Source organism: Homo sapiens, chromosome 19 (genome assembly GCF_000001405.40).
Source record: "Homo sapiens chromosome 19, GRCh38.p14 Primary Assembly".
In the NCBI taxonomy this organism is placed as follows: domain Eukaryota; kingdom Metazoa; phylum Chordata; class Mammalia; order Primates; family Hominidae; genus Homo; species Homo sapiens.
Window position 1 is genome coordinate 10,873,627 of NC_000019.10, and position 12,052 is coordinate 10,885,678.

Here is a 12,052-nt window from a genome sequence, read left to right on the forward strand (position 1 = left end):
TTTTTTTTTTTTTTTTTTTTTTTTTTTTTTTGAGACAGAGTCTTGCTCGGTCCCCCAGGCTGAAGTGCAGTGGCTCAATCTCGGCTCACTGCAAGCTCTGCCACCTGGGTTCACGCCATTCTCCTGCCTCAGCCTCCCGAGTAGCTGGGACTACAGGCGCCTGCCGCCATGCCCGGCTAATTTTTTGTGTTTTTAGTAGAGACGGGGTTTCACCATGTTAGCCAGGATGGTCTTGATCTCCTGACCTCGTGATCCACCCGCCTTGGCCTCCCAAAGTGCTGGGATTACAGGCATGAGCCACCCCGCCCGGCCAGAACAATTTTAGTCTTATAGATGTATTGGCAACATAGTGAGATGTTCCTACCATCTTATTCCTGGAGTAACATTTTGTGTTTGTATTTGTGTTTTTGTTTTTGTTTTGTTGATACTCTTGAAAGTATTACTTGTTATTAAGACAGCACTTCTCTTTGAGAGGTAATTGGTAACTGAAACATTTTTTATTATTAGAGACAAGGTTTCACTATGTCACTGTGTTGCCCAGGCTGGTCTCCAACTTCTGAGCTCAAGTGATCTTCCTGCCTCCCAGAATGCTGGGATTACAGGTGTGAGCCACCCCACCTGACCGGAAACATTCATAAAAAGGAGAAAGTCCACATTCCTCAGAGAGCCTCAGTCCCAGATTCCCAGATGATATATCCTTAGGGTTCTGAAATAATTTTTTTTTACACTTTTTTGTTTTTTTTCTTTCTTTTTTATTTTTTTTATTTTTATTTTTTATTTTTTCAGACAGGGCCTCACTCTGTTGCTCAGACTGGAGTGCAGTGGTACAGTCTCAGTCTCAGCTCACTGCAGCCTTCCATGGCTAAAGTGATCCTCATACCTCAGCCTCCCTAGTAGCTGGGACCACAGGCATGTGCCACACCCAGCTAATCTTTCATATTTTTTGTAGAGAAAGGGTTTTCACTGTGTTGGCCAGGCTGGTCTCAAACTCCTGGGCTCAAGTGATCCTCCCTCCTTGGCCTCCCACAGTCCTGGAATTACAGGCATGAGCCACCGCACCGCCCTCTTTATCCTTAAGTAACATTGATATGGAGATAAAAAACATGGGTTCTTGGCCAGGCGTGGTGGCTCACACCTGTAATCCCAGCACTTTGAGAGGTTGAGGCAGGCGAATCACTTGAGGTCAGGAGGTTGAGACCAGCTTGGCCAACATGGCAAAATCTCGTCTCTGCTAAAAATGCAAAAATTAGCCAGGTGTGGTGGTACCTGCGACTGTAGTCCCAGCTACTCCGGAGGATGAGGTGGGAGGATCGCTTGAACCAGGGAAGCAGAGGTTACAGTGAGCTGAGATTGCACCACTGCATGTCAGCCTGGGTGACAGAGCAAGACCCTGTCTGAAAAAAAAAAAAAAAGCATGGGTTCTGGAGTTGGAGGTGATCAGTGCTGGGTGTATTAATTTCCCATGGCTGCAATAACAAATTATGACAGATTTTTGGTTTAAGACAACAGGAATGGATTCTCTCTCAGTTCATGGTCAGAAGTCTGAAATCATGGTACTGGCAGGGCCACAATCCCTGGAGAGGTTCTACAGGAAAATCCTTGCATCTTCCAGATTGCAGTGGATCCAGCTGTTGCTTGATTTGCAGCAGCGAAACCCAAGTCCCTGCGTCTGTCTTCACTCCTGTGTCTTGTGTCCTCTTTTTTCCTTTTTTTTTTAAAGTGAGATGGAGTCTCGCCGTGTTATAGGCTGGTCTCGAACTCCTAGGCTCAAGTGATCCTCCCACCTCAGCTGTTCTTTTCTTTTCTTTTTTTTTTTGAGACGGAGTCTGGCTCTGTCACCCAGGCTGAAGTGCAATTGCGCGATCTCCGCTTACTGCAAGCTCTGCCTCCTGGGTTCAGGCCATTCTCCTGCCTCAGCCTCCCGGGTAGCTGGGACTACAGGCGCCCGCCACCACGCCCGGCTAATTCTTTGTATTTTTAGTAGAGACGGGGTTTCACCGTGTTAGCCAGGATGGTCTCCATCTCCTGACCTCGTGATCTGCCCACCTTGGCCTCCCAAAGTGCTGGGATTACAGGCTTGAGCCACCGTGCCCGGCCCCAGCTGTTCTTTTCTTATAAGGACACTGGGCATTGGATTTAGGGCCCACTTTATATCTAGGATGATCTCATCTCAAGATCCTTATCTGCAAAGACCCTATTTCCTAATAAGGTCACCTTCACAGATTCCAGGGGTTACAACTTGGATGTCTGTCTTTTTTTTTTTTTTGAGATGGAATTTTGCCCAGGCTGGAGTGCAATGGCGTGATCTCGGCTCACTGCAACCTCTGCCTCCCGGGTTCGAGCGATTCGCCTGCTTTGGCCTCCCAAAGTCCTGGGATTACAGGGATTAGAGGCATGTGCCACCATGCCCGGTTAATTTTTTTTGTATTTTTAGTAGAGATGGGGTTTCTCCGTGTTGGTCAGGCTGGTCTCGAACTCCTGACCTCAGGTGATCCGCCCACCTTGGCCTCCTAAAGTGCTGGGATTACAGGTGTGAGCCACCGCCACCAGCCTCACATATGGCTAATTTTTAAGTTTCTTCTAGCGATGCGGTCTCACTATTTTGCCCAGGCTGGTCTTGAACTCCTGGGCTCAAGCAGTCCTCCTGCCTTGGCCTCCCAAAGTGCTAGGATTACAGACGTGAGCCACTGCGCCCGGCCAATAAATATTTATGTCCATGTTACTGACAGCAGTGTTCGTTGGTGTGGCATGGGAATGAGCTAGCTTTTCTAGGAGGAGCCCCCTATGCTCCAGGGCTGCCCCGCTGTCTTGGCTCACCGGCCATGGGAGGGAGTCCTGGGCCATGATCTGTACCTAACATAGGAGGCCCAGGAGAGGCACGTGGGGAGGACTTCCAGCCCTGTTCCTTGACGTCTGCACCCTCCAGGGGAAGGATGACAGCTGCAGAAGGGCCTGTCTCTGTCACTCTGTAGTGAACAGTTACTTCTTGCCATCTGAAGTCACCCTGGCCTACGTCCATGAGATTGGCCAAATGGCAACTACCAACACCAGGCCATTTTCCCTGTGCAGAGGGGGAGGCCCTTTGGCGTGGGCTTCCTGGGCTTGAGGAAGCTTTGGCATGGCCTCTGGAGTTCCTGGGCATAGGCTGCCCTCCCTTGGAAAGGAGGCAGTTTCTCAGGGAGGGGTGCCGGGAAAGAGAACAGAACAAACTCTCACTTCCCCAGCCCTGTGGCGCTCTTTCTGGAAATGACTGTGTCACTTTTCTTTCTTGGTCAGCACGAGTCAGTGTGGCCAGTGCTTTAGACTCTCCCATCCCCTTGGCTCAGAAGCTTACACAGCAGCATGGGCTCCGTCAGGGGCTAAACTTCAGTTTGTGAGGGGCATGCCATGGGGTGGAAAGTTCAGAGAAAAACCCTTTGTCCAAAGAAGGTGAAGAATGGCCTGCTGTCACCGAACCAGGGGCCCTTGTGACTTCCTTTGGTTACACTCCTGGGATCCCCCTGACAGCTGGGGCAGGGGTATAGAAGAGCTTGTTATGTGCCCCATCTTTAGGACATCTCGGTGTCAAGCTGGAGTGACAACAGGGAAAGTTAGTAACCCCAGAAAGGCATTTGTGTTTCAGCGGTGCCTGCGTGTGGCTAATGGATACCGTCATTTATTGAGCATTTATCCCGTACCAGACTGTGCATAAACTTGTGTTGACTCAAAATGCTTGACCTTGGGGGCAGCTAGGGAAAGGGCAGTGATATAAATTAGGCCTATGGGCCACATTGAGCCTGTGGCCTATTTTTATCTGTGTTTGTATTTTATTAGTGAGACAGAGTCTCACTGTGTTGCCCAGGCTGGAGTGCAATGGCATGGTCTTGGCTCACTGTAACCTCCACCTCCCAGGTTCAAGTGATTCTCATGCCTCACCCTCCTGAGTAGCTGGGATTACAGGCCTGTGCCACCACCCTGGCTAATTTTTGTATTTTTAGTAGAGACAGGGTTTCACCATCTTGGCCAGGCTGGCCTCGAACTCCTGACCTCAAATAATCTGCCTGCCTCAGCCTCCCAAAATGCTGGGATTACAGGTGCGAGCCACCGCACCCAGCCTGTGTTTTATTATTTATTTATTTTGAGATGGAATCTCGCTCTGTTGCCCAGGCTGGAATGCAGTGGCGCAATCTCGGCTCACTGCAACCTCTGCCTCCCAGGTTCAAGCGATTCTCCTGTCTCAGCCTCCCGAGTAGCTGGGATTACAGGCACATGCCGCCATGCCCAGCTAATTTTTTGTATTTTAGTAGCTCACTGCAGCCTCTAACTCCTGGGCTCAAGTGATCCTCTGGCCTCATCCTCCCAAGTAGCTGGGACTACAAGCACATGTCACCACCCTTGGCTAATTTAAGCAATTTTTTTAGAGACAGAGTCTTGCTGTGTTTCCCAGGCTGGCCCCAAACCCCTGGCCTCAAACCATCCTCCTCCTGCCTGAGCCTCAGAAGTAGCTGGGATTATAGTCACGAACCGCTGGGCCCGGTGTGGCCTATTTTTGTACAGACAAAGCTAAGAAAGGCTTTTACAGTTTTTGAGAGATTGATTAGGGAAAAAAACTAAAACCCAATCCACAAACAACAATAATCAGTTGAGACCACAGTGTCCTGCAAAACCTGAAATATTTACTCACTGGCCCGAGGCAGGGGAAGCTTGTAGACCCCTGGGATAAATGAATGAGGCAGGCAGGAGTTGGGGTCTGTGGGGAGTTTGGCCCCAGCCAAAAGAGAAACCAAAAAATCCTCAGGCCGAATAGAGCATACTTCTGAATTGTGTGAGCCCCTTGTGCCAATTGTGGCGCTTACTGTATGTTACCACTTACTCTGAAAAGAGTTCTGTGAGGTCAGAGATACCAACCCCAATTTACTGGTGGAAAAACAGAAATGAAAGAACTTGACTGGCCAAAGTGATGTGGTTGGCAGGCAGCAGAGATGGCTTTGGCATTCTGGGTGACTGGATGCCCACCTTAAATGCATATATAAGTGGTTCAGTGACATTTATCTGTTCATCACAAAGACCCAAAGTAGCAGAGGCTTAATTAAACACGATGGCATTTTATTTTTTGTGCTCTAATGCTAAAGTGTGAAGATTGTCAGGTGCCAAAGTCTCCTGGGCTCTTGGAAGTTCCCAGATCCAGGTCCTCCCCCCGGCTTTTTTTTTTTTTTTGAGATGGTGTCTCGCTCTGTTGCCCAGGGGCTGCAGTGCAGTGGTGTGATCTCAGCTCACTGCATCCTCTGCCTCCCGGGTTCAAGCGATTCTCCTGCCTCAGCCTCCCAAGTATCTGGGACTACAGGCGTGTGCCACCACGGCTGGCTAATTTTTGTATTTTTAGTAGAGACGGGGTATCGCCACGTTGGCCAGGCTGTTCTCAAACTCCTGACCTCAGGTGATCCACCCGCCTCGGCCTCCCAAAGTGCTGGGATTACAGGCCACTGCCCCAGGCTGATCCTCCACCATTCTTAAGGTGAGGTCTTGTCCTCAGGTTTCAGCATGACTGCTGGAGTCCCGCCATTACACCCTGGCTTCCAGACAGCAGGACAGAGGAAGGGACAAAGGAGAAAGGGTGCAAAGGTCACATCCAGGTGTTTGTTAAGAAAGGTTCCCGGTAGCTGATGCAAGGTGCTTCAGCTTTCATTTTGTTGGCTAGAATGTAGTCACATGATCACTGCCAGCTGCAAGGGATGCTGGGAAATGTAGTTTTCAATCTGAGCGGCCATGTGCTCAGCTGAATTTAGGGTTCCAGTTTCCATGGACAAAGAGAGAACATACAGGGAGTCACCTTGGCCACAGTGGGTAGGATCTGGACCTGGCCAGAATGTTGGGAAGGACGTTTCTGGGTTATGGAGAGGTGCTCCAGTGGGCCAGGGCTGGAGACAGCCACCTGGCTTGGAGCACAGGGTCCCCTGTGAGGAGTGGAGGGGCTAAAAGTGGAAACAGGGCTGGGTTGGAATCGAGGATTTTTTTGGTTTTTTTGGAGATGAATTCTCGCCCTGTCACCCAGGCTGGAGCACAGTGGCTCAATGTCATCTCACTGCAACCTCTAGCCTCCCAGGTTCAAGTCATTCTCCTGCATCAGACTCCCAAGTAGCTAGGATTATAAGTGCGTGCAACCACACCCAGATAATTTTTGTATTTTTAGTAGATACGGGGGTCTCACCCTTTTGGCCAGGCTGGTCTTGAACTCCTGACCTCAAGTGATCCATCTGCCTTGGCCTCCCAAAGTCCTAGGATTACCGGCATGAGTCACCGCACCCAGCCTCAGGTGAAATCTTAATGGAAGGTGTCCAGTGCTGTGAGCAGCTCCTGGTCACCAAGCACTGGCCCTCTGTGTAGGGGGTCTGGATGAGATGGGTGGGCAAGGCCTTTCAACAGAAGCTGGAGTGTGGTGTGAACTTGCTAATGACTTTGAGATGCCAAGCCTCACACACCTCAGACCAGGTTGGATTTAGCAGGTGGAGAGGCTCAGGAAGACCTCTGTGGCAGGTGTGTCTCCTTTCTGCGGAAACCTGCTGCTTCTAAGGTCTGCTGGAGAACCTGGGAGGTGGTGAGTTTGCAAAGACATCCAGGGAAGCAGCCACTTAAGCGAGGGCAGGATGGAGGGGCCCACCTGGGCCACACCTGGCTGCTTGAGGTGGCGAGTTGAGGCTGGGAGGGGTTTCCATCAGTTCCATCAGCTCAGAGCTAGGATTTTTTTTTCTTCTTTTTTTGAGACAGGGTCTTGCTGTGTCACCCAGGCTGGAGTGCAGTGACACGATCATAGCTCATTGCAGCCTTGAACACCCAGGCTCAAGGGATTCTCCCTCCCTCAGCCTCTCTACAGGCTGGGACCACAGGCGCACATCACCATGCCTGGCTAATTTTTTTTTTTTTTTTTTTTTGTAGAGACAGGGTCTCACTATGTTGCTCAGGCGGATGTGGAACTCCTGGGCTCAAGCGATTCTCCTACCTTGGCCCCCAAAGTGCTGGGATTACAGGTGTGAGTCATGGCAGCCACGGCTCCAGAGCTCGGGTTCTTAATCTGGTCTGTGGATGGCCCCTGGGGGCGGTCCCATGAGCCCCTCACAATTGGACACAGTTTTGCAAAGGGGTAAAAGGACAAGAATCGGTAGCTGTGACTGTGGATGAGCCTCTGAGCTTCACTTTCCCTCCCTGAAAGGGGGTGACAGTGGCACCTCCCTGGAGGTTTTCGTGGAGGGGAGGAAACACATGTAAAATACTTCACCCCAGTTGGGCACAGAGGCTCATGCCTGTAATCCCAGGTTTTGGGAGGCCGAGGCAGCAGGGCGGTTTGAGTCCAGGAATTTACAACCAGCCCGGGAAACACAGTGAAACTGTATCTCTTAAAAAATAATTTAAAAAAATTAGCCGGCATGGTGGCACATGCCTCTAGTCCCAGCTATTCCAGAGGCTGAGGCGGGAGGATTGCTTGAGCCCAGAAGCTTGAGGCTACATTGAGCCATAATCGTACCACTGCACTCCATCCCGGGAAACAGGGCAAGACCTTGTCTCTAAAAAAAAATGCTTCTTGCTTGATGACTTGTGATATATGAAAAGGAAGAAAGAAAAGAAAAGCTTTGCCCTGTGTGCCTGGCCCGAAGTAAGTGCTCCATAAATTGGCCGTGGTGTAGCTGTGGATTCTCTGCACATTTTTCTGTGCAGAACCTCCCCTGATTTCGGTCAGCTTCTCAGAAGGATCTGTGACTGAAAAAGGGTACCAGTTCCTGGAGGACAGCACCTGATTGGGGAGTGGAGTCTGCCCTGGCTGGTAAGGGATTGGGGGCTCTCTGCGCAGGGCCAGGACATCTCTCCAGGGACAGGCGAGAAGCTTTGAAAGGGCAGGAAGGAGAGGGCAGCAAGGTCAGATGCCGTGAGAGGTCAGAGTGAGAGCCAAGGGGCGGTCACTGGATTTCTGAGCAGGAGGTCACAGGTGACCTCAGAGAGCAGTCCCCTGGAGGGCTGGGGTGGGGGAGGGGCCAGCCAGATGGCAGGTCTTGGGGGAGGTGACAGTGGAGCTGCAGAGAGAGCAGGGGGGACGGTGACCTTTCCCAGCCCACTGAGACCCACTCTTTCATTCATTCAGCCAGAAACAGGCAGCGAAAGTGGACTCGCCGTCTCCATAGTGCGGTAGCTCCCATCCAGCCAGCTTGAAATGGTCAGCAGAAATTCACCAAGCGTCTGCTGTGCACCAGTTACTGTTTTAGGAGCCCAGGGATGTGGTGACACCCGAGATAAACACAAGGTCCCACATTTGCAGGCCTGGGGACATTGTCTGAGGAGCGCTAAATCAGCAATCACTTAAAACAAGCTGAGGGGCTCCAGGATGCTGGGGGAGGGGCTCTGCTTAGAGGGAGGCTGAGGGCAGAGTCGTGCTTGTGGTAAGAGCTCTAGCAGGGGCCAGCTGGCAAGTCCTGATCCACTCCTTAGCATCCCGGTGACCACTTTGTGCCTCAGTTTCCTTGGCTGTCAGTTGTGGATCTTGACATCGTCTACCCTAGAGGGTTGTTGTGAGTGGCGAGCTGATAGAAGTAAAGTGCTTAAAATAGCGTCTGGCACTGCAGGAGGGAAGACCTCCTCTGGGAATGAACTTGTGGGCCTGGCATGGCCAAGGGCATGCAGTGGGGGGGATGGGGAGGCAAGGGACGCCTGTGATGGAGGCTGGGCTCCAGCCATGCTGTGGCCCGCTGTGCTTTCCTGGCGGGGCGATCATGGGCAAATGCCTCAGTGTCCCCGAATCTCAGCTTCCTTATTGGTGGGAGGATTCGGTGAGTGGCTTCCCTGGTGGAAAGTGGCCTTGGCCAGAGTAGACATCTGTGGCTGGACTGTATACAGAGCCCTGCCCAAGTCGGACACAGCCCCCCAATCTCCAGTGCACTCTGTCTTTTTTTTTTTTTTTTTTTTTTTTTGAGACAGGGTCTCACTCTGTCGCCCAGGCTGGAATACAGTGGAGCGATTTCTGCTCATTGCAACCTCCGCCTCCCAGGTTCAAGTGATTCTTGTGCCTCAGCCTCCTGAGTCTCTGGGACTATAGGCATGTGACACCATGCCCGGCTAATTTTTGTGTTTTTAGTAGAGACGGGGTTTCACCATGTTAGCCAGGCTGGCCTCGAACTCCTAACCTCAAGTGGATCTGCCCGCCTTGGTCTCCCAAAGTGCTGGGATTGCAGACATGAGCCACCGTGCCCGACCTCAGTCTTGGGGAGCAGAGAGAAGGCAGACAGAGAACCCCATCTCCTCTGCTGGGGAAGTGGTCTAGGGAGCACCTTGAAGAGAATGGCAGCTAAGGAGAGGTAGGGGAGAGGCTGGCCTGGCCAGAGAGAGGTGAGCTGCAAAGGAGGGGGACCCAGGGGCCTGCAGGGTGTCTGTGGTCAGCCCTGCTACTCTCTGCCTTTCCTGGCTGGAATGCTATCCCTGGCCTCCCAGCACTCTCTGGGTTAGAGGCTGCAGGCGGTCCTGATTAGCACACATGGGAGCCTCACCTTGGGACCTTGTCCAGGGAACCGTGGTTCTCCCTCCAGTTTCCTCCCATTAAATGGAGGGGGCTTTCGAGGATTGGCCCACACCCAACATAGGTGAATCCTTGGTCTCCTGAGCCTGCTATGTGGCCTGGAAGAGAAGATGTATCCCAAGTTGTCCAGGTGTGGGGGTAGGTAGGACACAGAGTAGCCCTGGGAATCCTGCCCAAGACCCCCTCGTCCCCAGTGATTGAGGAGGAGTCCCTTTCCCCGGTGTAGTTTATCTGTCCCAGGGGCCTTCTCCGGCACCCTCTGGATCTGCTTCCTGATCTCACTCTGGGGAACTGCTTGGGGAGCTTCACGTTTCAGTCTCAAGGATCGCGCAGGGCGGACCCTCAGCAGCCTCCAGATCTGCCCAGAAAGTCCACGGTGCCGGCCCTGCCACTTCTTTGTTTGGCTTAAGAGACAGGGTCTTGCTGTGTTCCTCAGGCCGGCGTGCAGTGGTGCGATCATAGCTCACTGTTAGCCTTGAAATCCTGGGCTCAAGCAATCCTCCTGCCTTAGCCTCCTGAGTAGCTGGGACTACAGGTATGCGCCACCACGGCTGGCTAATTTTTTAAAAAAATTGGCTGGGAGTGGTGGCTCACGCCTGTAATCCCAGCACTTTGGGAGGCTGAGGCAGGTGAATCACTTGAGGTCAGGAGTTCAAGACCAGCCTGGCCAACATGGTGAAACCCCATCTCTACTAAAAATACAAAAATTAGCTGGGCGCGGTGGTGTGCGCCTGTAATCCCAGCTACTTGGGAGGCTGAGGCAGGAGAATCACTTGAACCCAGGAGGCGGAGGTTGCAGTGAGCCAAGATCATGCCACTGCACTCCGGCCTGGGTGACAGAGCGAGACTCTGTTTTTTTTTTTTTTTTTCGTTTTTTGTTTTTTGTTTTTTTAATTACGGGCCAGGTGCAGTGGCTCACACCTGTAATCCCAGCACTTTGGGAGGCCGAGGTGGGCGGATCACTTGAGGTCAGGAGTTCGAGACCAGCCTGACCAATGTGGAGACCCCTTCTCTACTAAAAACACAAAAATTATCCAGGCATGGTGGCGCATGCCTGTAATCCCAGTTACTCTGGAGGCTGAGGCAGGAGAATCTCTTGAACCCAGGAGATGGAGGTTGTGGTGACCACAGATCACACAACTGCACTCCAGCCTGGTCAACAAGAGCAAAACTCCGTCTCAAAAAAAAAAAAAAACAAAAAGACATAGAGATGGGCTCTCTAGTATGTTGTCCAGGCCGGTCTCAAACTCCTGGACATAAGCAGTCCTCCCCTCCTTGGCCTCCCAAAGATCTAGGATTACAGGCCTGAGTCACTGTGCCCAGCCCAACCTGCCACTTTGACACTACACAGCTCTGACTTTTGGTTGAAGAATCTGGAGTCCCCAGTTGCCCCCCCTCCCCCTGTGCTTGCCTTTGTTCCCCAAAAAGCAGTTACATGAAGGAAATGGAGACCAGGCCTAACCCAGGGCTGAAGGAGTTGGGTCTGGAGATTCTAGGCCCCTCCTGTGTCTCCTCTGGTGTTGATTCTCTGCATCGCTTCTTTATTTTATTATTTTTTTTTGAGACTGAGTCTTGCTCTGTCCCCCAGGCTGGAGTGCAGTAGCGTGATCTCAGCTCACTGCAACCTCCGCCTCCCGGGTTCAAGCGATTCTCCTCCCTCAGCCTCCCGAGTAGCTGGGATCATAGACACGTGCCACCACGCCTGCCTAATTTTTGGATTTTTAGTAGAGACGGGGTTTCACCCATGTTGGCCAGGTTGGTCTCAAACTCCTGACCTCAGGTGATCCACCAGCCTTGGCCTCCCAAAGTGCTGGGATTACAGACGTGAGCCATCATGCCTGGCCGCTTATTTATTTTAATTGTTGTTTAGTCAGTACACACACATGCCCAGGCCTTAGTTCTGTTTGATGCTTTTGACAATTATGGACACCCATGTCACCACCACCCAAAGCCAGACATGGAACTTGTTCCCCTCTGGGTAGGTTTGTTCAGTGGGACAGCCCCTCTTTCCCTGTCTGTTCCTCTCATCATTTGTCCCCTGCTGCCAGGCGGGGCATTCTTGTAAACAGGTCCAGACTGGGTTTGGGGGGCTCTGTGCCCCCCCACCCCTGCCAGGAGAACCCCCTTTTATTCTTCCTTTTTGTCTGTCTCTTTAAAGCGATTCATTAGCCTTGGCAGGCGTGGGTCTGAGCTGTTTTCCTTTATGTCGTTGGCAGGTCTTTCTCCCGCTAATTGTGTTCTCGGAGCTGGGGTTCATTTTTGCCGGATGTGTTACACATGTGCAAGCGTAGTGGTTTTATGTATAGAAAACCTGCCCAGCGGTGTGGGCATGGGTGCTACTCCTGGCGAGGACTGCAGAAAGGCCCCTGGCCAATCAGTGCTCTCGTGAAAGAGGGATGCTCTTGTTAACCATCCCGGGCAGGGGGCATGTGAATAAATAATCAAAGACTGGGGTGCCTCTTGCAGACTGAGGGAGGGACATTCCAGAGAATTTGCTGCATTCTTCCTTGAACAGGA

General features: G+C 51.8%; 1 protein-coding gene across 4 annotated transcripts in view, besides 10 other annotated features; it reads left to right on the forward strand.

Moving 5' to 3' along the window:
• CARM1 (coactivator associated arginine methyltransferase 1) overlaps window positions 1-12,052 on the forward strand; it is a 51,523-nt gene that overhangs the window by 2,074 nt on the left and 37,397 nt on the right. The window lies entirely within an intron of this gene.
• Window positions 17-136: an enhancer, noted in NCBI's record as "active region_13997". NCBI's record gives its function as "activates an Ori minimal core promoter by ATAC-STARR-seq in GM12878 lymphoblastoid cells {active_cell/tissue: GM12878}" and the evidence as "EXISTENCE:reporter gene assay evidence [ECO:0000049][PMID:35858748]".
• Window positions 674-1,174: an enhancer, noted in NCBI's record as "H3K27ac hESC enhancer chr19:10984976-10985476 (GRCh37/hg19 assembly coordinates)". NCBI's record gives its function as "activates a minimal SCP1, AML or CMV promoter by ChIP-STARR-seq in naive H9 embryonic stem cells {active_cell/tissue: H9 hESC(naive)}" and the evidence as "EXISTENCE:reporter gene assay evidence [ECO:0000049][PMID:30033119]".
• Window positions 1,175-1,675: an enhancer, noted in NCBI's record as "H3K27ac hESC enhancer chr19:10985477-10985977 (GRCh37/hg19 assembly coordinates)". NCBI's record gives its function as "activates a minimal SCP1, AML or CMV promoter by ChIP-STARR-seq in naive H9 embryonic stem cells {active_cell/tissue: H9 hESC(naive)}" and the evidence as "EXISTENCE:reporter gene assay evidence [ECO:0000049][PMID:30033119]".
• Window positions 2,995-3,144: an enhancer, noted in NCBI's record as "active region_13998". NCBI's record gives its function as "activates an Ori minimal core promoter by ATAC-STARR-seq in GM12878 lymphoblastoid cells {active_cell/tissue: GM12878}" and the evidence as "EXISTENCE:reporter gene assay evidence [ECO:0000049][PMID:35858748]".
• Window positions 3,325-3,554: an enhancer, noted in NCBI's record as "active region_13999". NCBI's record gives its function as "activates an Ori minimal core promoter by ATAC-STARR-seq in GM12878 lymphoblastoid cells {active_cell/tissue: GM12878}" and the evidence as "EXISTENCE:reporter gene assay evidence [ECO:0000049][PMID:35858748]".
• Window positions 5,362-6,204: an enhancer, noted in NCBI's record as "NANOG-H3K27ac-H3K4me1 hESC enhancer chr19:10989664-10990506 (GRCh37/hg19 assembly coordinates)". NCBI's record gives its function as "activates a minimal SCP1, AML or CMV promoter by ChIP-STARR-seq in primed H9 embryonic stem cells {active_cell/tissue: H9 hESC(primed)}" and the evidence as "EXISTENCE:reporter gene assay evidence [ECO:0000049][PMID:30033119]".
• Window positions 7,046-7,888: an enhancer, noted in NCBI's record as "H3K27ac-H3K4me1 hESC enhancer chr19:10991348-10992190 (GRCh37/hg19 assembly coordinates)". NCBI's record gives its function as "activates a minimal SCP1, AML or CMV promoter by ChIP-STARR-seq in naive H9 embryonic stem cells {active_cell/tissue: H9 hESC(naive)}" and the evidence as "EXISTENCE:reporter gene assay evidence [ECO:0000049][PMID:30033119]".
• Window positions 7,889-8,730: an enhancer, noted in NCBI's record as "H3K27ac-H3K4me1 hESC enhancer chr19:10992191-10993032 (GRCh37/hg19 assembly coordinates)". NCBI's record gives its function as "activates a minimal SCP1, AML or CMV promoter by ChIP-STARR-seq in primed H9 embryonic stem cells {active_cell/tissue: H9 hESC(primed)}" and the evidence as "EXISTENCE:reporter gene assay evidence [ECO:0000049][PMID:30033119]".
• Window positions 8,731-9,572: an enhancer, noted in NCBI's record as "H3K27ac-H3K4me1 hESC enhancer chr19:10993033-10993874 (GRCh37/hg19 assembly coordinates)". NCBI's record gives its function as "activates a minimal SCP1, AML or CMV promoter by ChIP-STARR-seq in primed H9 embryonic stem cells {active_cell/tissue: H9 hESC(primed)}" and the evidence as "EXISTENCE:reporter gene assay evidence [ECO:0000049][PMID:30033119]".
• Window positions 9,573-10,413: an enhancer, noted in NCBI's record as "H3K27ac-H3K4me1 hESC enhancer chr19:10993875-10994715 (GRCh37/hg19 assembly coordinates)". NCBI's record gives its function as "activates a minimal SCP1, AML or CMV promoter by ChIP-STARR-seq in primed H9 embryonic stem cells {active_cell/tissue: H9 hESC(primed)}" and the evidence as "EXISTENCE:reporter gene assay evidence [ECO:0000049][PMID:30033119]".